The following is a 26,312-nucleotide window of genomic DNA, read 5'->3' on the forward strand; positions in this document are numbered from 1 at the left end:
TGACTCTGCCAACTCATTCACTGGGTAACCGCTGACCCCACCAGGCCCTCGGAGTAAAGCAGTTAGTGAGAACCGCAGGTAAAAGCGCGGGCTACTCATCCCTCCGCCTGTGGATTCTATTATCAACAAAGATGCATCACCTGCTAGAAGAGCGGTTCTCAAACTTGGCTGCACATCAGGTTCACTTCAAAAGCTTCAGGAAAAGCTAGTGCCTTGGGCCCACCCCAGAGACAGGTATAGCTCAAGGTGAGAACCAGAGCACCAGCAGGCAGGCCTCTGCCAGGCAGCATGGGCAACGTGTGCTGGGTGAATGTGCGGCCTGCACTCATCACCCAGAAGAGCCCCACTGTGTCCACACAAGGACAGGCCACCGAAGTCCCAGTCCCCACTCTCCCTTCTCACTTACTTTGTGAATGAGAGCTCACCAACAGTTTACCGTCTTCCGAGTGCTGCGGCCTCACCGCCCGACCCGCAGCAGGGGTGAGGGCTTGCAAAGGCCATGCAACAGATCCTCCCCCTCAAAGGGGCTCAGGCCTCAGTGTGGTAATGGGAGCGGCCCCTTCCCACACTTGTCAGAGAACCCACCCACCCGGTGGAATGAAGCCGAAGCCCAAGCCGCAGGGCAACAGCCCGGGACGGCAGGGGACAAGTCTGTACAGCAGCCACACCCCTGCCAGAGCCAGGAGCTCTTCCATTTCCACAGCAGGCCAACTCTCACCTGGAAGCACCCACCTAACCAAACCCAATCCCTGCCTTCTTTTAGTCACACTGGGAACTGCCACAGGAAGGCTGGGGACTCCACATACTCCCTCCTCACCACACCCCATGTGTGATCACCCTTAAACAGAAAACATGCACCTAAGATCCTACGATGCGCTGCCCACCTCACAAAAAACCGGTGCCTCTAGGTAAGAGCACCTAGCTGACCCATCCCTGTTCCCTCTCACCATTAGAAGGACCCCCAAGTCCCCCTGTTCTAACACCGAGGCTGCACTCCCACTCTCCACCCACTAACATTACCATAAAAAATAAATTGAATAGTTAGAAGGAGGGGCTCCCCAAAGCCTGGCCACCTTCCCGAGGGTCCCAAGCAGTTTCTTGGAGTCCCTCTCCCCACTCAGTCCCGCCACACCCCTCTCAGGCAGTCTGGCCCTTCCCTCCTGAACTTTGGCGGGCTGGAACCAGCTCCCAGCCTCTCCTCCCTTATCAAGCTCACTGGGGGCCCACACAGAGCTCCCATCCCCACCAGCTTTTCTCGCTTTGCCACTCCCAGCTAAAACTGGGCTCAAGGCAAGCAAGCCTGCAGTCCCTCAGTCCCTCGGGGCCCAGCCCCTCCTCAGAGCCCTCCCCCAGCCCAGGTCCCTAACCCTTAGGGCAAGGCCCCTCCCAGCAGGAAGCGAACCCTGGCGGTGCCAGGCAGAGTCAAACTGGAAGGGCTGGTTCAGAAGCCCCTAAATGGGAGCCAGGACCTCTCTTAGGGAGGGGGCTTTCAGCCCCATCCTCCCTAGTGCGATCTCAGATCTCTCCAGACACCACACTATATGGGCCTCCACAGGCGGTGGAGTCAAAGGCATTTACCCTCCAGCCCCCAGCAAGCTACTTAACTTCCAAAAGCAGCTCCTTCCCTCCTCCAGAGGAGAACGGGCCGCGTGCTGAACTGCAAGCGCCTCTATCACCCCGCCCAGGCAAGTCTGTGAGCACCAGAAAGCAGGGGCCAACATGACTTGGTCTAAACCAAGGGGGCCAGGCACTGACTTTGCGCTCAGAAAATGTGGCGGAATGAATAAAAAGCTTGAAAAAGAGCCGCATACATGCCTGGCTGGCAGTGGGGTCTCCCAAGCGGGCTTCACAGCTCACACAGTACCCGTGGGTCCGCGTCCTCAGTGCTCTCCAGCTGTCTCCACTGCCACCCTCTACCCTACCACTGCCTTTTAAAACCCAGTAGCAGTCACTTCCTGGTTAAAACCCCTCCCCTCCAGGCCAACCCCAACCCACATGGCATCCAGGGTTCTCAGCCAGCCCACGGCCGGCTCCTCCCACGCCACCGCTATGCCCTCTGCGCTCCGCTAGATGCCAGCCCTTATCACCCCATCTTATAATCATTTGTTGAGTGTCTGCCTTCCCTAGGCTGAGCTCCAGAAAACAGCGATACATGAATGTAAACTCCAGTTCTGTTCCCATTGTAGAAACGAGGCAGGAGAGTCAATCACTGCTCAAGGTCATGACGGGAGTAAATGGCAGAGCCAGCAATGCACTACAGACTTTGCGACCGACCAAGTCCAGTTCCCCTCTCACTGCCCCACAGGGGTCCGTCCTAGGCCAGGCTCGGAGGAGACAAGAAGGGAGGAACCCAATGTGTTCTTTCTTCCCGCGGTGAAAGCTGCCTCCCAGGCCAGCAAGAGCAGCCCAGAAGAAGTGCCCCACTCTCCCAGGGATCAGGTACTGGGGGCAGCGGGCAGGACAAGGTATGGGGTGGGGCTGACTGCTCCAGGCCAACAGACCAAGCAATAAGGTTGGAACCACAAGTCCCCTGGGTAAACTGAACTTTATTCCTTCCTCACGGCTCTCACTCTCCAGAACTGCCCCGCCAGCTCTTCTCCAGGGGCTGGCTGCTGATTAAATGGCACTTCCCCACCCCTCAGATCTGACCCCGCAAACAATAAGGACTTGAGGGGAGGCGGCAGGCTATCAGCTCAATAATGCAAAACCCTGTTGCTCCTCGTCCACAACAGCTGACTTCAAGTGGATGGGAGGCTGCGCTTATTAACAAAATGAGAAATCTGATCTACGGAAAGAAAACACTACGTGAGGATTAATCCGCGACTGCAGCTTGTGGAGAAGGCTGGGCTGCTGGCCAAGACCAAGGATCGAGGATGGGATCGTGCCTACCTGTCCCCAGAGCAGGTATCATGCAGCACAACAGGACTCATCACCCCTGCCCCACCTGCGCCTTCTCTTCTCCTTCCAGCAACTTCGACAATCATTTCGGTTTTGCTTTAATTAAAGGCCTGACTCCCTCGGGCTGCTTCTTCCTCTACACAGAGGCAGCAACCAGAGGGAGATTTTTCTTTTCAGGAATCGGTCGTAAAAACTCAGTGACTAATCTACAAGTTCCAACAACTGGCAGAAAAACACCGCAGGGAGAGGTTGCTGGGCACACAGCAGCACTCAGAGCCAACTGACCAGAGAAGCTGGGCCACAGGCACTCTACTACAACCTCCCTCCCCCAGCCCGACACTGGCCTGCCGACCCACCTGAGAGCTCTGACCTCCCAAGGCAGGCAGCTGGGGAGCCTCTTCCCAGCCTTCCAAGTCTACTGCTCGTCCTGTGGGACCCAGAGATCTTCACAGTCTCAATGGCACAAGACGGAACGTTCACTTCCAGGCAACAATCCTGGGCCACAGGACTCAGTTCAGCCCCCAAGTATCAGACTCCCGGCCCTGTTCTTGGTGTTCAGAGCCCACTAAACCAGCAGTCTTGCCACACAGCTTTGTCTCCAGAGGCCAGCTCATCTGCTTTTTTTCACACTACTCCAGCAACCCTGCTCCACCAAGCACGCACACTCTCCTTGACACAGGGCTCCAGACCAACCACATGGCCTGTGCTCCTGAAAATGCCTGCCTGAAGGCCCAGGGAGTCCAGACACTGGCAGATGAGAATGGACGAAAAGAAGCCAAGCCAGAAGCCAGGAAGCAATAAATGCTAGACCCAGAAAGGCCTTAGGTTTGAGTGACCCAGCTCCATCCCTCCATCCTGGATCCTTGGAGGACAGCCCCAAGTTCAGCCTAGGAGCTCCCAAGGCCCCTCCACTACCTGCCAGCTCTCCGACAGCACAAGAGACACAGCAATCCCACATCAGTCAACAACCCACCGCCACAGGATTCCTAGGGGCAAGGCTCTGCCCCTCCCCCCAGCACATATGTCAGAGGGGTGGCTTCCCTGGGTTACACCCCTCCTGCTGTTGGGGGAGTGGGGGGTCGGGGAACACAGCTTTCCAGATGTGCTTGGCAACTCCTACTAGAAAAGACTAGGGGTGCGGGGGACAGGAGAAGACATGGATAAATAACTTTAACACCGCTCCAACCCATCCGGCTCAGCACTGGGCTCCCTTACACAGGCAGTCCCAGGCAGTTCTGGGTGGGGCCGTTGGGAGCATTATCTGGCCTCATTCCCTCCTCTCAGCAAGTCACTGCCCCCCAGGGAGAGGCATTCCCCCCCCCCCCCAACCACGCACACACCCAGGCCTGTGTGAATATGAACCATCTTGGAAGATAAACAGAGAGTGACAAGCTGGGGCCCCTCAGCCCCCTCCCTCAGCCAGCCGGTCCCTTCCCCCTGAAAGCCGACCCCCTCCCCCAAGCCCATCTCTCTTCCTGCCAAGCGGCTGCCTACAGGAGAGGTCTGGGGGCAGGGCAGCGAGCCCACCAGCCGCAGAGCCCGGCCCTCTGGGAGCGGCCCCTCCAGGCCCGCCCCTGCCCCTGCCGTGGCCAGTCTTCCCGCGGGGAGGAGGCAAGAGGAGAGGAGACCGCAGACGGTGCAGGACCGCAGTCCTGGAAATCGCAAAATCCTCTAGCGAGGGGGCGGCCGCGGGCGCAGGGCCGTTTGCATAATGGGAGCCCTCCCGCCTGTCAGGCAGCGCAGCTCGCCCGACGCTGTTCGGATTAGATTGCTAATGAAAAGGCACAAAGAGCCGGCGCCCGCTCGCCCGCCGACCCCCGCTCCGCAGACCCGCGCCGCCTGGGCCTGGCGCGGCCCGGTGGGCTTTGTGCCCCGGGTGCCCCACCGCCCGCGCCCCTCCGGGCATCTGGCCCACAAAGCCCGGGCCTGCCAGGGGTCCCGCGTGCGCCCCAGCCCAGGCCCGCCAGACGCTAGCGCGTCCCCCACGCGCGCAGTCCCACGTCGCCCGGGCGCGCGCGCGTCCACGCCCCTCTCCCCGGGGACGCGCCCAGCCCGCGGCCCCGGCCCCCGCCCGCTCCCCGCGACCCCCGCCCCCCAAGGCCGCCCCTCACCTCGTGTGCGTCGGCGGCGGCGCTCCGCCCGCCGGCCGGCCGGCCCTACCAGCGGCCCTTGTCCTCAGCGCCCGGCTCGCGCCGCACGCGCCCGCCCCGTCCGCCTGCCGCCAGCCCGGCTCGGCTCCCCGCCTAGCGCGCCCCGAGCGCCGCTCACAGCCGCCCGCCCAGCGCCATCTTGGAAGCTTGTGACGTCGGCGCCGCCCGCTCACCCCTGACCCACATCTGAATGGGCGAGCGGCGGGGCGGGGACAGGGGGCAGCTGGGGGCGTGGCCTGTGAACAGGGGCGGGGCCTCGGGGGCGGGGCCGGGCCGGACAGCGGTCCCAGCACTAGGCGGGCGGGCTGCCGGGGTCCGGCGCCGTGGGGAAGGGGTGCGCGGGAGGAGACGGGGACCCAGACCCCGGACATCTAACCGGACTCCGACCTCAAGCGCCAGGGCAGGACCGCGACCTCGCCCCTGAAATACCCGAACCGCATACCGGCCCCCGGGACAGGGACCCTGGCCCCCCCCGACAGGCTGACGCCCACCCCCTCAAACTCTGGTGGACTTACCCCCTTTTAGCCCTACCCTGACCCCTAGGAGCCCCGAATTAGGGACCTCTATCGGCCTACGCGCCCCCTCCCCGACCCCTTTGCGACCCCTGCTCGACGCTCCCTGCGGTTGCCCGAGGCTCAAAGGCGCAGCCAGCAGTGACTGCAAGCTCGGGGGTCTGGGCTCCTGGGGAAGCCCGGGCTGGTTGGGTGCAAAAGAGAAGGGGCGCCCCTCCCGTGACCCCAGCGCCCCTCGGGCCCCCGCGGGCGCACCCCCGCGAACCCTACCTGCTCCGAGGGCGCGGAGGACCCAGCACGCTGCGCTCAGCCAGCCCCTTCCGGTGGCCGCAGCCCCTCGCAGGCCCCAGGGGTCAAGCGCCTGCCCGAGCCGGCCCACCAGGACCCGGGCTCCCGGCCGCCATGCAGATAGCCTTCCCAGGGGCTGGGCTGGCCTGAGCCGCCACTGCTTCTCTAGGGAGCTAGTTAATGGACCTCTCTCTACTTTGAACACCAAACAAAGGAACACACCGCTATCGAGGTCGCCCAAGTCCAAGAGGAGCCCAGGTCTGCCTTACAGGGAAGTTGTGCCCCAGCTCCAGTCAAGATCAAAAACCAGTTTCAATAACCCTTCGCCAAGCTGATGATGCAACCTTTCTTTCCTAATGGATGTATAGGTTTAATGTCATCCTAACAACATTTCTTAGACTTCACAAAATTCTAAGTTCACCTGGAAAAATAAATAGCCGAAAACAGCTATGGTTTTCCCCCCTTGGGAACAAAAGCAGGCATGAGGGTAGACTTGCCCTAACAGATATCAAAACAAATTGTAAAGCTACCGCAGGCATTTCAGTGTGGTACAGAACAGGAAATAGAATAGAAAGCCTAGAAACATCCTAGAAATGGTAAGAACACAATAGATGAAAAAGGAAATATCAAACATCTGTGGAAAAAAAAGAGCTATCAAACATCCCTGAAGAAGAACAAGAATATTCCACAAATAGAGCCTAGCAGAGGACTCACTATTTGAAGGAACGACTGAAAAAAAAAGTCAACCATTCTACTAACCCAAGACATATAAATTAAAACTATAGGCCGGGCGCGGTGGCTCACGCCTGTAATCCCAGCACTTTGGGAGGCCAAGGCGGGCGGATCACGAGGTCAGGAGATCGAGACCATCCTGGCTAACACGGTGACACCCCGTCTGTACTAAAAATACAAAAAATTAGCCAGGCGAGGTGGCGGGCGCTTGTAGTCCCAGCTACTCGGGAGGCTGAGGCAGGAGAATGGCGTGAACCCCGGGGGGCGGAGCCTGCAGTGAGCCGAGATCGTGCCACTGCACTCCAACCTGCGCGACAGCGAGACTCCGTCTCAAAAAAATAAATAAATAAATAAAATAAAACTATAAGAAGCTGGGTTTTCTCCTAAACAAATTAAAAATCAGTTTCAAGTGATAACCTTCAAACACAAGGTCTGATAGGTAATCACTCTCATATACTTTTGGAAGCACATAAATCACCTCAAAATTCCTGGACATGAGTTTGGCGGTATGAGCCAAAAGTTGTTTTTTTGGGGTTCTTTTGTCTTTTTTTGTTTTTTGGAGACTCGGAGTCTCACTCTGTTGCCCAGGCTGGAGTGTAGCCTCAAACTCCTGGGATCAAGTGATCCTCCTGCCTTCCAAAGTGCTGGGATTACAGGCATAAGCCAACGCACCTGGCCCCAAAAATATTTTAAAATAATTATACCCTCTCAGACCAGTATTCCAGGATTCTGTTCTGGGGAAATTAGCCACGTTTGCAGACCACGTACTTATTATCTGTCTCTCTACCCATAAGTAAGTTTGTACCTGTAAGTTTGGAACCCATGCCTAGGAGCACACCTGAGACAACAGGCATTCCACGGTCCCTTGTTTCATCTGCATTTGAAAACTAATGTGGCTGGCTCATGCCTGTAATCCCAACACTTTGGGAGGCCAAGGCCGGCAGATCGCCTGAGGTCAGGACTTTGAGACCACCCTGGCCAACATGGTGAAACCCCGTCTCTACTAAAAATACAAAAATTAGCCGGATATCGCGGTGCATGCCTGTAGTCCCAATTACTCGGGAGGCTGAGACAGGAGAATTGCTTGAATCTGGGAGGCTGAGGTTGCAGTGAGCTGAGATCATGCCATGACACTCCAGCCTGGGCAACAGAGGGAGACTCGGTCTCAAAAAACAACAAAAAAGATAACTAATATATGATAATATTTTTTAAGTGTCATGTATAATAGTGAAAGAAAGCATATACAGGCGGTGGCTCACGCCTGTAATCCCAGCACTTTGGGAGGCTGAGGCGGGAGGATCACCTGAGGTCAGGAGTTTGAGACCAGCCTGGCCAACATGGTAAAACCCCGTTTCTACTGAAAATACAAAATTAGCTGGGCATGGTGGCGTATGCCTGTAATCCCAGCTACTTGGGAGGCTGAGGCAGGAGAATTGCTTGAACTCCAGAGGCGGAGGTTGCAGTGAGCTGAGATCCTGCCATTGCACTCCAGCCTGGGCAACAGAGCAAGACTCCGTATCAAAAAAAAAAAAGAAAAAAGCATATACAAATTTCTCACAATGGGGTTAAATAGTCCACATAATGGAATGTAGATTAGGCCAGGAGTAGTGGCTCATGCCTGTAATCCCAACACTTTGGGAGGCCGAGGCGGGCAGATCACCTGAGGTCGGGAGTTCGAGACCAGCCTGACCATTATGGTGAAACCCCGTCCCTACTAAAAATACGAAAAGTTAGCTGGGCGTGATTGCGCATGCCTGTAATCCCAGCTACTCGGGAGGCTGAGGTAGGAGACTTGCTTGAACCCGGGAGGCGGAGATTGCGGTGAGCTGAGATCGCACCATTGCACTCCAGCCTGGGCAACAAAAGTGAAACTCCGTCTCAAAAAAAAAATTAGCCAAGCATGGTGTCACATGCCTGTAGTCCCAGCCACTCAGCAGGCTGAGGCGCAGCACGAGAGTTGCTTGAACCTGGGAGGCAGAGGTTGCAGTGAGCCGAGGTGGTGCCACTGCACTCCAGCCTGGGCGACAGAGTGGGACTCCATTTTAAAAAAATAAATAGGCCAGGCGCGGTGGCTCACGCCTGTAATCCCAGCACTTTGGGAGGCCCAGGCAGGTGGATCACGAGGTGAGGAGTTCAACACCAGCCTGGCCAAGATGGTGAAACCCCGTCTCTACTAAAAATACAAAAATTAGCCAGGCATGGTGACGGGCACCTGTAATCCCAGCTATTCGGGAGGCTGAGGCAGAGAATCGCTTGAACTCAGGAGGCGGAGGTTGCAGTGAGCCCAGATCACACCACTGCACTCCAGTCTGGGCGACAGAGTGAGACTCGGTCTCAGAAAATAAATAAATTAATAAATAAATAAATTAAATTAGTAGGATGGGCACGGTGGCTCACTCCTGTAATCCCAGCACTTTGGGAGGCCGAGGCGGGTAGATCACCCAAGGTCAGAAGTTTGAGACCAGCCTGGCCAACATGGTAAAAGCCCGTCTCTACTAAAAATACAAGATTAGCCAGGCATGGTGACGTATGCCTGTAATCCCAGCTACTTGGGAGGCTGAGGCAGGAGAATTGCTTGAGCTCCAGAGGCGGAGGTTGCAGTGAGCTGAGATCCTGCCATTGCACTCCAGCCTGGGTGACAAGAGTGAAACTCCGTCTCCAATAATAATAATAATAATAATAATAAAGTAAATTTTTAATTAAAAAATAAAATTTTTATTTATTTATTTATTGAGACAGAGTCTCACTCTGTCATCCAGGCTGGAGTGCAGTGGCATCATCTCAGCTTGCTGCAACCTCTGCCTCCCAGGTTCAAGCAATTCTCTGCCTCAGCCTCCTGAGTAGCTGGGATTACAGGCGCCCACCACCACACCCAGCTAATTTTTGTATTTCTAGTACAGACGGGGTTTCACCATCTTGGCAAGGCTGGTCTGGACCTCTTGACCTCATGATCTACCCGCGTTGGCCTCCCAAAGTGCTGGGATTACAGGCGTGAGCCACTGCGCCCAGCCAAAAATAATTTAAAAAAAAAAAAAAAAGAAGAGGCCAGGTGCAGTGGCTCACGCCTGTAATCCCAGCACTTTGGAAGACTGAGGCAGGAGGATCACTTGAGGTCAGGAGTTCGATACCAGCCTGGCCAACATGGTGAAACCCCATCTCTACTAAAAATACACACAAAAATATTAGCCAGGCATGGTGGCACACCCCTGTAGTCCCAGCTACTCGGGGGACTGAGGCAGGAGGATCACTTGAACCCAGGAGGTGGACGTTTCAGTGAACCAAAATCACACCACTGCACACTCCAGCCTGGTCAACAGAGCTAGACCCTGTCTTAAAAAAAATTGTATTTTTTGTACAAAAAAATTAGCCGGGCCTGGTGGCAGATGCCTGTAGTCCCAGCTACTCAGGAGGCTGAGGCAGGAGAATGGCGTGAAAACCTGGGAGGCGGAGCTTGCAGTGAGCCAAGATTACGCCACTGCACTCCAGCCTGGGCGACAGAGCGAGATTCCGCCTCAAAAAAAAATTTTTTTTTAATTGCATTTTTTAAATGCATGCAAAAATATTGATATATGGAAAAGCAACTGAAGAAAATAAATCAAAAATATTTACGGAGGTTCTCTCTGGAAGTTGGGAATTTTTTTTCTACACATGTATACTTTAGCGTGTGTGTTATTTTTATTTTATGAAAGTAACATTTCTAATCGGAACAATTCTAGAGATGCTGAAGCACATTTTATTTTTATTTTATTATTTATTTTTGAGACAGAGTCTAGCTCTGTTGCCCAGGCTGGAGCACAGTGGCGTGATTATGGCCCACTGCAGCCTCCACTTCCTAGGCTCAAGTGATTCTCCCAGCTGGGACTACAGGCATGCACCACCACACCCGGCTAATTTTTTATTTTCTGTAGAGACAGGGTCTCACTATGCTTCCCAGGCTGAACTCAAACTCCCAGACTCAAGCAATTCTCCCACCTCAGCCTCCCAAAGTGCTGGGATTACAAGCATGAGACACCATGCCCGGTAATTTTTTTTTTTTTTTTGTGCAGATGGAGTCTCGCGCTGTCACCCAGGCTGGAGTGCAGAGGCGCGATCTCCGTTCATTGCAACCTCCGACTCCCGGGTTCAAGCGATTCTCCTGCCTCGGCCTCCCAAGTAGCTGGGATTACAAGTGAGCACCGCCACACCAAGCTAATTTTTGTAGTTTTAGTAGAGATGGGGTTTCACCATGTTGCCAGGGTTGTCTCGATCTATTGACCTCGTGATCTGCCCACCTCGGCCTCCCAAAGTGCTGGGATTACCGGCGTGGGCCACCGTGCCCAGCCCATGCCCAGCAATTTTTTAAAGTTAAATTCTCCCTCCTCCTCCACCCTAATCAGTCCTTTCTGAAGTAACATTAACAGTTTAACTCTCTTCTCTGACATCAATATGTATCTACTCACCTTACAAAAAAGATCCTACTATTTTGAAATCATAGACATTTTTCTAGTTCATTTCCATAATTCATTCTTTTTTTTTTTTTTCATGTCAGACGGGTAATGTGCCTATGTCGTAACAAGATTTGAAGGTGGCGGCCGGGCGCGGTGGCTCACGCCTGTAATCGCAGCACTTTGGGAGGCCAAGGCGGGCGGATCACGAGTTCAGGAGATTGAGACCATCCTGGCTAACACAGCGAAACCCCATCTCTACTGAAAATACAAAAAAATTAGCCGGGCGTGGTGGCGGGTGCCTGTAGTCCCAGCTACTCAGGAGGCTGAGGCAGGAGAATGGCATGAACCCGGGAGGCGGAGCTTGCAGTGAGCCAAGATCGCGCCACTGCACTCCAGCCTGGGTGACGGAGCAAGACTCCCTCTTAAAAAAAAAAAAAAAAATATTTGAAGGTGGCACATCTTACATGGGAACGTGTGTGAACACATAATCATCATGCTTATGAACTACAAAAGGATCATAATTCATTCTTTAAGAGCTGACAAATGTTCCAGAGTATGGAGCTTCTGTAATTTATTCACACTTCGTTAACCATGGTTGTTCAGTTTATTTACAGTGTGGTGCTTTTTGTTTTCTTTTTTCTTTGTTCTTTTTTTTTTTTTTTTTTTTTGAGATGGAGTCTTGCTCCTGTCACCCAGGCTAGAGCGCAATGGCACAATCTTTGCTCACTGCAACCTCCACCTCCCGGGTTCAAGCAATTCTCCTGCCTCGGCCTCCTAAGTAGCTGGGATTACAGGTATCTGCCACCATGCCTGGCTAATTTTTGTATTTTTCGTAGAGACGGGGTTTCACCATGTTGGCCAGGCTGGTCTTGAACTCCTGACCTCAAGTGATCCACCCGCCTCAGCCTCCCTAAATGCTGGGATTACAGGTGTGAGCCACCGCACCCAGCCTACACTGTGGTGCTATTAAAAAATATTTTTAGGCTGGGCACAGTGGCTCACACCTCTAATCCCAGCACTTTGGGAGGCCGAGGCAGGTGGATCACTTGAGGCCAGGAGTTTGAGACCAGCCTGGTGATCATGAAGAAACCCTGTCTCTACTAAAATATTAGCCAGGCATGGTGTCACATACGGATAATCCCAGCTACTCGGGAGTCTGAGGTGGGAGAATCACTTGAACTAGGGAGGCAGACGTTGCAGTGAGTTGAGATCATGCCACTGCACCCCAGGCTGGACAACAGAGCGAGACCTCGTCTTAAAGTAATTAATTAATTAATTAATTAATTAATTAATATAAATAAAATAGCAGATTTCAAAAATTTGTTCTCCCTGGCAGCAACCCAGTAAAGCTAGATCTGGGCGGAAGGTAATATGGAAATATAAAAACTACAGATTAGCAGGGATGGGAAGACCCGCCAGAAATGGGTTCATTTTGTGTCCTCACTCCCTCCGGATTCTCTGTGTGTCTAGTCCAAGATCTAACCACTATGATCTGCTTTCCTCATCCATTTGGGAATCAGGGCACCACCCCCTTGGGAGGCTTGAATGACATGAGGTTGAGCAGGCAGAGCACGGAACTCAGGCTCTGGTGAGCCCTGGTACAGTGACTATGATTGTTGTGTCATGTAGGAAGGGTCTGTTATTTTACCATTATCTGTTTTCAATAAAAAACAGAAAGAAAACAAATATACAAAATACCCCCAAACAGTAAATTTCAGCTTCTTACTATGACAGCTAGATTTAGCATTTAACAGTATGCCCAAATTTGAATTTCGGATAAACAACCAATAATGCTTAATATAAGTATGTCCCGGCCGGGCGCGGTGGCTCACGCCTGTAATCCCAGCCCTTTGGGAGGCCGAGGCGGGCGGATCACGAGGTCAGGAGATCAAGACCATCCTGGCTAACACGGTGAAACCCCGTCTCTACTAAAAATACAAAAAATTAGCCGGGCGCGGTGGCGGGCGCCTGTAGTCCCAGCTACTCGGGAGGCTGAGGCAGGAGAATGGCGTGAACCCCAGGAGGCGGAGCCTGCAGTGAGCTGAGATCGTGCCACTGCACTCCAGCCTGGGTGACAGCGAGACTCCGTCTCAAAAAAAAAAAAAAAAGTATGTCCCATACAATATCACTTCTCACCTTCCCATATCCCAAGCTCAAGACACCTTATATACGCCATGATTTCTCCTGCCATCTCTGGGCATTCACACCAGGGCTCCTCCTGTCCAGGCCAGCCTTCTCCCTTCTCCCACCTGTGCCTGGTGAACAACTCAGTTCAGACATCATCTCTTGTAGGAAGTCTCCTGTGATCCCAGGCTAATCACCCTGATACAGTCCTGAAATACTGCTGAGCAGTTGGCATGAGGGCAGGAAGGCTTGGTCTTGTTCACTCTTGTATCCAGCTTATACATGGCACAAAGTAGGTTCTCAATTAAAAGTCAAATGAGGGGCCAGGTGCAGTGGCTCACGCCTGTAATCCCAGCACTTTAGGAGGCCAAGGCGGGTAGATCACCTGAGGTTGGGAGTTCGAGACCAGCCTGGCCAGCATGGTGAAACCCCATCTCTACTAAAAGTACAAAAATTAGCCAGACGTGGTGGCAGGCACCTGTAATTCCAGCTACTCGGGAAGCTGAGGCAGGAGAATCACTTGAACCCGGGAGGGAGAGGTTGCAGTGAGCCAAGATTGCGCCATTGCACTCCAGCCTGGGCAACAGAGCAAGACTCCATCTCAAAAAAAAAAAAAAAGTCAAATGAAGTCGGGCACAGTGGTTCGCGCCTGTAATCCCAGCACTTTGGGAGACTGAGGCAGGAGGATCACCTGAGGTCAGGAGTTCGAGACCAGCCTGGCCAGCATATGAAATCCTGTCTCCACTAAAAATACAAAAAAAAAAAAAAAAAAAATAGCTGGGTGTGGTAATGCACGCCTGTAATCCCAGCTATTTGGGAAGCCGAGGCAGGAGAATTGCTTGAACCCGGGACACAGAGGTAACAGTGAGGTGAGATCATGCAACTGCACTCCAGCCTGGGCTACAGAGCAAGACTCTGTCTCAAAAAAAAAAAAAAAAAGTCAAATGAGACCACTCATGGTAGCTGGCGCCTATAATCCCAGCACTCTGGGAAGCCAAGGCGGGAGGATTGCTTGAGTCCAGGAGTTTGATACCAGCCTGGGCAAAACAGTGACATCTCATCTCTACAAAAAATTTTTAAAATTAGCCGGGCATGGTGGCACTCGTCTATAGTACTAGCTACTTGGGAGGCTGAGGTGGGAGGATTGCTTGAGCCCAAGAATTCGAGGTTGCAGTGAGCTATACTTGCGCCATTGTACTATAGCTGGGCAACAGCCAGACGCGGCCTCAAAAAAAAAAAAATTTTAGCCGGGCTTGGTGGCATGTACCTATAGTCCCAGCTACTCAGAAGCTAAGACAGGAGGATCATTTGAGCCCAGGAATTTGACGCTGCAGTAAGCCAAGGTCACACCACTGCACTCCCGCCTGGGAGACTGAGTGAGACCCTGAGTCTAAAACAAATAATAATAAAAACGAAAATGAAAGTCAAATGAATGAGGCCAGGGGTGGTGGCTCATGCCTGTAATCCTAGCACTTTGGAAGGCTGAGGTGGGTGGGTCAGCTGAGCCCTGGAGTTACAGACCAGCCTGGGCAACATGGCGAAACCCTGTCTCTACAAATACAAAAAAGAAAAAAGCCAGGCCCATGGTGGTGAGTGCTTGAAGTCCCAGCTACTCAGGAGGGTGAGGTGGGAGAATAGCTTGAGCTCAGGAGGTCAAGGCTGCAGTGAGCTGAGATTGCATCACTGCAGCCTAGCCATGATGACAGGGCAAGACCCAGTAGAAAACCAAGGTTAGAGAGGTTAAGTCACCTGCCCAAGGTCCGTAGCTAACCTCAGACTCCAGCCCCTCAGACTGACATGAGCTCAGTTCACCCTCTTAGGAACACCATCTGAAGAATGCATCCCCAGCAAGCCTATTCCCTATAGCAAAGGCCAGGCCTGTGATGGGTGCCCCGCTCCTCACCACACACCTCCCTGTCAAGTCACCACTCCTTCACCCCTAGCAGAGCCAGGCACCTTGAGCCCAAGGGAGGCCACTCATGGAACTGTCATTCAACCAACAGATGCTGACAGCAATGATGAGGTGGGCACTGGGCTAGTGAACAGCACAGATGTGTTCCCTGGCCTCAGAAGCCCACAGACTAAGGAGAAGACGACAGAATACTCACAAGGGTGCTGGGGCTGGGCAAAAAGGTGCAGGCTGCTTTGTCTGGTCATAAGAGGGGAACTGACTTCCCTGGTCTGAGGAGCCAAGGAAGGGGCCGTGCCCTTGCCATGCCCTCTGCCTGCCATGCCTTGCTGTTCTTCAGTGCCTGCTCTAAGGTCACTCCTAGTGTGGTTTTCTCTGGCTGCTCTTTTTTTTTTTTTTTTTTTTTGAGACAGAGTCTCGCTTTGTCACCCAGGCTGGAGTGCAGTGGCACCATCTTGGCTCACAGCAACCTCCGCCTCCTGAGTTCAAGTAATTCTCCTGTCTCAGCCTCCTGAGTAGCTGGGACTACAGGTGTGCACCACTACGCCCAGCTAATTTGTGTATTTTTAGTAGAGACGGGGTTTCACCATATTGGTTGGCCAGGATGGTCTCAATCTCTTGACCTCCAGATCAACTCCCCTTGGCCTCCCAAAGTGCTGGGATTACAGGCGTGAGCCACCGCGCCCGGCCACTTTTTTTTTGGAGTCTCGCTCTGTCCCCCAGGCTGGAGTGCAGTGGCGCGATTTCGGCTGACTGCCAGCTCCGCCTCCCGGGTTCACGCCATTCTCCCACCTCAGCCTCCCGAGTAGCTGGGACTACAGGCGCCCGCCACCACGCCTGGCTAATTTTTTGTATTTTTAGTAGAGACGGGGTTTCACCCTGTTAGCCAGGATGGTCTTGATCTCCTGACCTTGTGATCCGCCCGCCTCGGCCTTCCAAAGTGCTGGGATTACAGGCTTGAGCCACCACGCCTGGCCTCTTTTTCTTTTTTGTTGAGACAGATTCTCACTCTGTCGCCCCCAGGCTGGAGTGCAATGGCGCAATCTTGGCTCATTGCAACCTTGGCCTCCTGGGTTCAAGCAATTCTCTGCCTCAAGCCTCCCGAGTAGCTGAGATTACAGGCGCCCACCACCACACCCGGCTCATTTTTGTGTTTTTAGTAGAGACAGGGTTTCACCATCTTGGCCAGACTGGTCTTAAACTCCTGACTTCGTGATCTACCAGCCTCGGCCTCCCAAAGCGCTGGGATTACAGGCTTGAGCCACCGCACCTGGCCATGCTCTTTCTTTTTTATTTGTATTTTTATCTGTTTCTTAGAGACAGGGTCTCACTCTGTCATCCAGGCTGGAGTGCAGTAGTGTAATCATAACCCACTGCAGCCTCAAACTCATGGGCTCAAGGGATCCTCCTGCCTCAGTCTCCCAAGCAGCTGGGACTACAGGTGTGCACCACTATGCCCAGCTATTTTTTTTTTTTTTGAGACAGAGTCTCGCTCTGTCGCCCAGGCTGGAGTGCAGTGGTGCCATCTCGGCTCACTGCAACCTCTGCCTCCTGGGTTCAAGTGATTCTCTGCCTCAACCTCCTCAGTAGCTGGATTACAGGTACCTACCACCATGCCAAGCTAATTTTTGTATTTTTTTTTTTTTTTGAGATGGAGTCTTGCTCTGTCACCCAGGCTGGAGTGCAGTGGCGCAATCTCGGCTCACTGCAAGCTCCACCTCTCAGGTTCACGCCATTCTCCTGCCTCAGCCTCCCGAGTAGCTGGGACTACAGGTGTCCGCCACCATGCCCGGCTAATATTTTGTATTTTTAGTAGAGACGGGGTTTCACCGTGTTAGCCAGGATGGTCTCAATCTCCTGACCTCGTGATCCGCTGGCCTCGGCCTCCCAAAGTGCTGAGATTACAGGCGTGAGCCACCGTGCTCGGCCTAATTTTTGTATTTTCAGTAGAGACACGGTTTCACCATCTTGGCCAGGCCGGTCCTGAACTCTTGACCTCATGATCCACCGGCCTCGGCCTCCCAAAGTGTTGGGGTTATAGACGTGAGCCACCGTGTCTGGCCTGGCTCCACTTTCTTAGGGAGCTTTGCTTGCCCTCTGCTTGGGGTAGTTTGTGAATTCAGTGCTCTCTCTCTCCCAGGTCCTGGGTCTCCTGCTCCTGATCAATCTGCCACGTGCCATTTGATCTCAGAGTTGTCTCCACCATTAGACTGGCAGGGTCTGTCTTCTGGGGTCTGTGTGTAGGATACAGTGGCCCCAGGATGGGTAAAGGAGGGGACCCAGTTGTTCTTCTGTGATAGGTGGAGACAAGGGCCAGCAGGGCTGTTTCTCGGTGAAACCCATGGGGAGATAGTCGAACCAGGAACCAAATCCGGCCGGGCGCGGTGGCTCACGCCTGTAATCCCAGCACTTTAGGAGGCCGAGGTGGGCGGATCACCTGAGTTCGGGAGTTGGAGACCAGCCTGACCAATATGGTGAAACCCCATCTCTACTAAAAAAAAATATATACATATATATACAAAATTAGCCTGGCGTGGTGGCACATGCCTGTAATCCCAGCTACTCGGGAGGCTGAGGCAAGAGAATCACTTGAAACTGGGAGGCAGAGGTTGCGGTGAGCCAAGATCGCACCATTACACTCCAGCCTGGGTGACAGAGACTCAGTCTCCAAAAAAAAAAGTCCAAAAATTAAAAAAAAAAAAAATGCCGAACTCAGTGGCTCACGCCTATGATCCTACCACTTTCAGAGGCCGAGGCGGGCACGGTGGCGCGTACCTGTAATCCCAGCTACTCCGGAGGCTGAGGCAGAAGAATCACTTGAACCCGGGAGGCAGAGGTTGCAGTGCGCTGAGATCGTGCCACTACACTCCAGTGTGGTGACAGAGCGAGACTTGGTCTCAAAAAAAAAAAAAAGTCCTGGCTGTGCCACTAGGCCAGACGCCCTAGAACTGACTTCTATGGACCTCAGTTTTCATACCTGTGAAATGGAACTCAGAGCCATATCTACTTCATTGGGTTGTGTGAATGTGAGGTAGTTACAGGATGGAGCAGGCAGAAGGTCAGCACAGCCTCAGTGGTTGGAGGAGTGGGGGTCAAGTGGACAGAGAGGGTACCCCAGGGCCAGAGGTAGAGGCAAGGTGAAGCAATGCTTCATTTCCCTGCTGAGGTTCCTCTCTAGCAGTTTGGAGGTGGGGCAGGAGTGGAGAAAACACATCCCCTCCTCAATATGGGCTGAGGAACAGGGTTCTTGAGGCACCAAGAACCTCTTTGGGGCTCTGGCTTGCCTCCTGTAGTGAAAGGGATGGGCTGTGTGCAATGAACTCACACCTGTAATCCCAACACTTTGGGAGACAGAGTCAGGAGGTCCAGAACAGCCTAGGCAACATAGCAAGACCTTGTTTCTACAAAAAACTTTTTAAAAAATTAGCCAGGCGTGGTGGTGGCACCTGTAGTCCCAGCTACTTGGGAGGCTGAGGTGGGAGGATTGCTTGAGCCTGGAGAGGTTGAGGCTGAAGTGAGCTATGATAGCACCACTGTACTCCAACCTGGGCAACAGAGTGAAACCCTGTGTCTAAAATAAAAAGAGGGCCTGGCGTGGTGGCTCACGCCTGTAATCCCAGCACTTTAGGAGGCCGAGGCAGGCAGATCACTCGAGGTCAGGAGTTCGAGACCAGCCTGGCCAACATGGTGAAACTCTGTCTCTACAGAAGTACAAAAATTAGTCGGGCGTGGTGGCAGGCGCCTGTAATCCCAGCTGCTTGGGAGGCTGACCTGGGAGAATCTCTCGAACCTGGGAGGCAGAGGTTGCAGTGAGCTGAGATCACACCATTGCACTGCAGCCTGGGCAACAAGAGCGAAACTCCGTCTCAAAAAAAAAAACAAACAAATAATAAAATAATAATAATAATAATAATAATAATAATAATAATAATAAAGAGGGTGGGAGTGGACCAAGGCCTAATGGCATGGAATTTGCAAACTTTATCTTCCTAGTTTTCTCTGGGGAGCCTTCCTCCATCACCAGGGCCCAGCAGGGCCTCAGATGGCGGGGGGTGGGGCGGGGGCTACACATATCCCTCATGGCCAAGATGCTAGGAAGCCCCTGAGCTGGGGCAACAGCCTCTGGTCACAGTCATGAGGGAGGCTGGGTGCAGTAGCGCTTATCTTGCCTGACCTTGTGGAGACTGACCACTCCCTCCTTCTGGAAAACGTTGCCCCCTGCCCTCTCCAAGGCCTCCTCCTTCTTACATCCCCTGGTCCTGGCTAGGGCCTCAGCACCCAATTCTACTCCTTGACCCACCACCCTGTGGTGCTTTTGCCGGGCCCCAGCCCACAGCCATCTGCCAAACACCTCCCCCTGGAGTCCCTGCGGCGTCTCTGACTCAGCAGGTCTGTGCCTGCCCCTGCTGTTCCCCCCACCCAGTGGCTCTGCAGAGCACCCTGTTGCCCAAGCCCTGAGTACTGGCCACTCCCAGGGCCTCGCCTTCCCCCACCACCAGCACCACCAATTTGAATTCCTATCTCTCCCTCTGGCCTCCTCCCTAGACCCAGGCCCTGCCCCAGGGTGGGGGAAGGAATCCTACAGATAAGGGCATTGGTCAAAGGGACACACCTGGGTTCGGGCCCCCAGCTCTGCCCCCAACCTGCTAAATGACCACACCCCTCTCCAAATCTGAGTTATTCCCTATGTAAAAGGGGGAAATAATTAAACTAGCTGGGTATGCTGTGCTGAGCAATATGTGAGCTCAGGAAAGGTCAGTTTTCCAGGGGAAGTATGGCCGCTGAGAGCCTCAGTCTAGTGCTTCTCATTCACGAGCTGGTTGGTGCCTTTCCTAAGTTGGAAATGGGTTAGTCCACAAATCCCGTTGCCTGGTCCATGCCAGGTCCAGGTACCTGCATTCAGGGTGCAGGGTGGAGTAAGACAGTCTGAAGGGTGAGGTAGCAGGATGAATGAGTAATTCCTGGGTGCGTTTTGGGATTATGCCTAAGGGCTGTCCGAGCACGTGGGAGGGGTAGCTAAATCCTGTAAGGGAGGGGAGAATGGGGAAGGCTGCCTGCAAGAGGTGGTGGAGGGTGCTTTCAAAGGATACCTGGGAGTGAGCTGGCTGTAGGCACAGGGCAGCTGGAAGGCCAATTTTAGGGAAGAGGAAATTGAGGCTGAAAGTCAAAAAACAAAGGAACTGCCTGAGGTCTCTCAACTGAGAAGTGAGTGGGCCAGGGTTCACATTCAGCCCCCACTCCATTCTCAGGCTGGGCAGGAAGGTACTTTGCCCTCAGGAGGGCACCTTCGACCCAAAGCACCCTGACCAAGAGGCTGTGCACCGTGGCAACCCTAAGACTGAGGCCCAGGTCCTGGAGTTCCACCAAGGTAGGTACAACCAGCCAGGCCGTCAGTGACAGGAGGATTTACTGGGGCTTCTAGGGACCCCGTGAAAGGGCAAAAAGACGGCACAGAAGCCTGTGGATATCAGATATAGATAGTGAGGGCTAGGGCTTTATGGGGAGGGTGGATGGGCCCTGTGGGCGGGGGATGTTTAGGAGATCTTCCAAACAGAGCATTCCAGCCTGGGGGAACAACCCATTATAGACCCCACCCAGCACCGAAGACAGGGACAGGTGGGGCTGAGCCTGGAGGCTGGCAGGACCTGTGCGGCCGGCTGCGGTGTCAGCAATGCCACCGTGTGTGGAACCCTCTGTGCCTAGGTTCCTGGAGCCAGCTCCACCTGGCAATGTGCTTTGTTTCACAAGACTAGAGTTGGCCCATCTTGTTCCGCCTCAGATGGAACACCTGACCTCCTGCACACCCCACCCAGCCTCCAAATTCAACCACCCCAGTAGTGAGACAGGGAGAGTAGGGTGTGACCAGAAGGTGGAATGAGCTTAAAATAGGCTGCAGAGATATCTCTGAGCTTTTAAAAAGTCGTATCTTTCATATCGTGTTCTTGTGAAATCTTCTCCAGATTTTTTACAATGACTCTGAAATTGATCAGTTAGCCTCATGCTTTCAAAATCCATAGCCGCAGTGAGCGAGAGGGGGCAGGTCAGCTAGAGGTGGAGGGGGCAGATGGGCCAGAGGCGCCTGGGCAGGGGTGGATGGGGCCTGGACAGGCTTAGTGACCCTTGCACCAGAACTCTCCGGACACCGCCCCTTCGCCCACTCGTTAGGCTCCTCTGCCTTCGGGCCGGCTGGGCTGCCCATCCCCCCTCGTTCCCCTCCTGGGCAGGTCTGGACTGGACAGGTTTTGGGCCTCCAGGTCGTGCAGTCAGTCAGGGAAGGGGCCTGGTGCAGGCCACAGCCAGGCATCCACCTCCTTCCCAGCCCACCCCTACCCCCCAGCAGCCTGCCAACTTGCTAGACCTGTGCGGCCTTCCCTTCTGCTGAAAGTCTCCAGATTCTCAGGGCTCTGCACGGGGAGCCAAGCTGGGGCTTAGAACTGTGCTCCCTTGCCCCCACCCCCGACCTGTGCCCTCATCAGCTTTCTTTTTTTTTCTTTTTTCTTTTTTTTTTTGAGACACAGTCTCGCTCTGTCGCCCAGGCTGGAGTGCAGTGGTGCGATCTCAGCTCACTGCAACCTCTGCTTCCCGGGTTCAAGCAATTCTCCTGCCTCAGCCTCCTGAGTAGCTGGGAGTATAGGTGCGTGCCACCACACCCCGCTAATTTTTTGTATTTTTAGTAGAGACGGGGTTTCACCGTGTTGGCCAGGATGGTCTCCATCTCCTGACTTGGTGATCCACCCGCCTCGGCCTCCCAAAGTGCCGGGATTACAGGCGTGAGCCACCGCGCCCGGCCTATTTTAAATTTTTTTTGTAGAGACAGAGTCTCACCATGTTGCCTAGGCTTGTCTCGAACTCCTGGTCGCAAGTGATCCTCCCCTCTCTGCCTCCGCCGTAGCTGGGATTGCAGGCACAAGCCATGACGCCCCCCTTCTCATCAGCTGTCTGGGTCTTTCTCGGGGTCCTGACACCAGGCCAAGTGTTCTGCACACCTGACCTGCTCAAAACAAAACCAGTTCTGCCACAGTCTGGGAAAATGAGGCTCAGAGAGGCCTTGCAGCTGTCTGTGAGCAGGCTGGCATTTGGATCCAGTGACTGGGTTCTGGAGCCCAGTGGCTCTGTGGCCCTGCCTCTCCAGCCTTATGCTTCTTTAAAACTGCCCATGGCCTCTGAAGTTGAGGATTTAGGGGAGCAGGGCTGCCAGAGGGGTGAAGAAGGAGATCTTTCTGTGGGTGGGTGTCAGAATGACCAGGCCTGACACTGGTCCCTGCTCCCCTGGAAGGACAGCCCCTCTCGGTTATGTGGGGGGTGGGCTGCCTAGGGTGCTCTGGGGAGAAGGGAGGGAGAGAATGGGGCTGGTCGGGTGGGGTGTGGATTCCAGGCCTGCTTGGTCAAAAAGATACAGTATTTCCTATTCCCCCTTACACTGGGCAGGCAGGTGTGGCCCAGGCAGCTCTGCCAGGTGTGCAGCCCCTGGAGAATGACCCTAAAGTGCACCTAGGCTGCCCCCTGGCGGCAGCATGAGGTCCTCCTCCCTGGACTTGTAACCCTCCCAGGGGGAGGAGGTCCACACCAGCTGATGGGTTGGCACCTGTCCCCAGTCCCTTTCTTCTTTCCTGTGCCACTGCTCCCAGAGTTGCCCAAAACACACGATCAGGTGCAGTGGCTTGAACGAAACCCTGTCTCTACGGAAAATACAAAAATTAGCCAGGCATGTTGGCTCATGCCTACAGTCCCAGCTACTTGGGAGGTTTAGGTGGGAGGATCGACAGCCCAGGAAGTCAAGGCCGCAGTGAGCAGTGAGCTGTGGTTGCGCCACTGTACTCCATACTGTAGCCTGGGTGACAGAGTGAGACCTTGTCTTTTTTTTTTTTTTTTTTTTGAGACGGAGTCTCACTGTGTCATCCAGGCTGGAGTGCAGTGGCGCGATCGGCTCACTGCAAGCTCCGCCTCCCGGATTCATGCTATTCTCCTGCCTCAGCCTCCCGAGTAGCTGGGACTATAGGCGCCCCTCAGCCTCCTGAGTAGCTGGGACTACAGGCGCCCGCTACCACGCCTGGCTAATTTTTTTGTATTTTTAGTAGAGACGGGGTTTCACTGTGTTAGCCAGGATGGTCTCGATCTGCTGACCTCGTGATCCACCCGCCTCGGCTTCCCAAAGTGCTAGGATTACAGGCGTGAGCCACTGAGCCTGGCCGAGACCTTGTCTTAATTAAAAAAAAAAAAAAAAAGATAAAAACCTAGGTAACATGCTGGGGGGTGATGAGGGTTATGGAGGAAAATAAAACAGGTGGGGGCTGGAGTGAAGAGTGGGGGTGCCCCTCATAACTCTGACAAAGACTACAACGCAGCTGTCAGAAAAAAAGCTGATTTGAGGCAATGGTCAGGGAAAGTTGTGAAATTAAGTAAAAAGTGATGGAACAGGCTAGGTGGGAAGTGGTGGCTCACACCAATAATCCAAGTGCTTTGAAAGGCCAAGCAGGAGGATCTCTTGAGGCCAGGTGTTTGAGATCAGCCTGGGCAACATAGCAAGACCCTGTCTTTACAAAAAATGTAAAAATTAGCTGGAGGCTAGGCTCAGTGGCTCATGCCTGTAGGGAGGCCAAGGTAGGTGAATTGCTTGAGCCCAGGAATTTGAGACCAGCTTGGGCAACATGGCAAAATTCCATCTGTACAAAAAAATTGCCAGGCATGGTGGCTCATGCCTGTAATCCTAACACTTAGGGAGGCCAAAGTGGGCAGATTACCCGAGGTCAGGAGTTTGAGACCACCCTGGCCAACATGGTGAAACCTCGTCTCTACTAAAAATACAAAAATTAGCTGGGCGTGGTGGCGCATGCCTGTAATCCCAGCTACTCGGGAGGCTGAAGCAAGAGAATTGCTTGAGCCTGGGAGACAGAGGTTGCAGTGAGCCTAGATCGTGCTACTGCACTCCAGCCTGTGTGACAGAGCAAGACTATGTTTCAAAAAAAAAAGAAAAATTAGCTAGGTGTGGTGACATGCACCTGTAGTCCCAGTTACTCAGGAGGCTGAGGTGAGAGGATCACTTGAGCCCAGGAAGTTGAGGCTATGATCGTGCTACTGCATTCCAGCCTGGGTGACAGCCAGATTCTGTCTCAAAAATCAAAACACAACAGGGCACAGTGGCTCACTTTGGCCTTCCAAAGTGCTGGGATTACAGGTCTGCACCACCATGCCTGGCCTGAGAGTGCATGAATTAAAGTTTCTATTCTCTTGCTAGTCTGTCATTGCTTCCCTAGTGTGTGGGAACCATACTTGTCCCCACTTCTCAGTCAGAGAGCAGCCTGCCAACCTCCAAGTCTCTTGCCCCTGACCCAAAAGGTCCCAGGCTGTCCTCTCGGCAGAAGCAGCTGTCTTGTGGCTTACTGTGCTCAGACTCCATTTCTAGGCTGTGGGCTCATCAGGGATCTAGTGCTTTGAAAAAGTGTAAAGGAGAGCAGCAGTATTATTCACAATAGCTAAAAGGTAGAAACGACCAAAGTATCCATTGACAGATGAATGGATAAACAAAATGCATTACATACACACAATGGACTATTATTCAGCCTTAAAAAGGAAGGAGGCCAGGTGTGGTGGCTCACACCTATAATCCCAGCGCTTTGGGAGACTGAGGCAGGCGAATCACTTGAAGCCAGGAGTTGGAAACCAGCACAGACAGCATGGGGAAACCCCCTCTCTACTGAAAATACAAAAGTTAGCCAGGTGTGGTGGCACATGCCTATAATCCCAGCTACTCTGGAGGCCAAGGCATGAGAATCGCTTGAACCTAGGAGGTGGAGGTTGCAGTGAGCCAAGATCATGCCACTGCACTCCAGCCCGGGTGACAGAGTGAGACACTGTCTCAAACAAACAAACAAAAAAAAAGAAACGTGTGGTGGAAGAAGGGAAGAAAATTGGCCAGGCACACTCTGGTAGGGGATGGTTGGATGATGAAATACAGACAATAGAAAAACCTAGATAAAGACCTGGCGTAATGGCTCATGCTTGTAATCCCAGCACTTTGGGAGGCTGAGGCGGAAGGATCTCTTGAGGCCAGGAGTTTGAGACCATCCTGGTAAATATAGTGAGACCCCAGTCTCTTAAAAAATAATAATTGGCTAGGCGCGATGGCTCACGCCTATAATCCCAGCACTTTGGGAGGCCAAGGCGGGCGGATCACCTGAGGTCGGGAGTTCGATACCAGTCTGGCCAACATGGAGAAACCCCATCTCTGCTAAAAATACAAAATTAGCTGGGCGCGGTGGTGTGTGCCTGTAATCCCAGCTACTCGGGAGGCTAAGGCAGGAGAATCGCTTGAACCTGCAAGGTGAGGTTGCAGTAAGCTGAGATTGTGCCGTTGCACTCCAGCCCAGGCAACAAGAGTGAAACTCCATCTCCAAAAAATAAAAATAAAAATAAAAATAAAAAAGAAATAGGCCGGGTGCAGTGGCTCACGCCTATAATCCTAGCACTTTGGGAGGCCAAGGTGGGGGCGGGGTGGATCACTTGAGGTCAGAAGTTCGAGACCAGCCTGGCCAACATGGTGAAACCCAATCTCCACTAAAAACACAAAAAATTAGCCGAGCATGGTGGTGGGCACCTGTAATCCCAGCTACTCGAGAGGCTGAGGCAGGAGAATGGCTTGAACCTGGGAGGCGGAGGTTGCAGTGAGCCAAGATCACCCCACTGTACTCCAGCCTGGGTGACAGAGTGAAACTGTCTCAAAAAATAAATAAATAAATAAATAAAACTTTTAAAAAGTAAGAAGAAGAAGAAAAAAAATATATGGAAATTAAAAAACAAGAAAAAAATAATAGGCCAGGTGCAGTGGCTCATGCCTGTAATCCCAGCACTTTGAGAGGCCGAGGTGGGCGGATCATGATGTCAGGAGTTCAAGACCAGCCTGGCCAACATAGTGAGACCTCGTCGCTACTAAAAATAGAAAAAAATTAGCCAGGCGTGGTGGCGGGCACCTGTAATCCCAGCTACTTGGGAGGCTGAGGCAGGAGAATCACTTGAACCCATGAGGCGGAGGTTGCAGTGAGCCGAGATTACGCCATTGCACTCCAGCCCGGGTGACAGTGCGAGACTCCATCAAAAAAAAAAATAAATAAAATAAATAAATATTAATAATAATTTTAAACAATTAAAAAATATGGGATTTTTTTGAGACAGAGTCTCACTCTGTCGCCCAGGCTGGAGTGCAGTGGCATGATGTCAGCTCACTGCAACCTCCGCCTCCTGGGTTCAAGTGATTCTTCTGCCTCAGCCTCCCAAG

General features: G+C 53.2%; 1 pseudogene, besides 2 other annotated features; it reads right to left on the reverse strand.

Moving 5' to 3' along the window:
- Positions 165 to 966: an enhancer, noted in NCBI's record as "H3K4me1 hESC enhancer chr22:20422795-20423596 (GRCh37/hg19 assembly coordinates)". NCBI's record gives its function as "activates a minimal SCP1, AML or CMV promoter by ChIP-STARR-seq in primed H9 embryonic stem cells {active_cell/tissue: H9 hESC(primed)}" and the evidence as "EXISTENCE:reporter gene assay evidence [ECO:0000049][PMID:30033119]".
- Positions 1,770 to 2,571: an enhancer, noted in NCBI's record as "H3K4me1 hESC enhancer chr22:20424400-20425201 (GRCh37/hg19 assembly coordinates)". NCBI's record gives its function as "activates a minimal SCP1, AML or CMV promoter by ChIP-STARR-seq in naive H9 embryonic stem cells {active_cell/tissue: H9 hESC(naive)}" and the evidence as "EXISTENCE:reporter gene assay evidence [ECO:0000049][PMID:30033119]".
- LOC124905163 (uncharacterized) lies at positions 11,441 to 11,523 on the reverse strand (annotated as a pseudogene).
- Positions 11,524 to 26,312: the final 14,789 nt, after the last annotated feature.

This window comes from Homo sapiens, chromosome 22 (assembly GCF_000001405.40).
Source record: "Homo sapiens chromosome 22, GRCh38.p14 Primary Assembly".
Classification (NCBI taxonomy): Eukaryota; Metazoa; Chordata; class Mammalia; order Primates; family Hominidae; genus Homo; species Homo sapiens.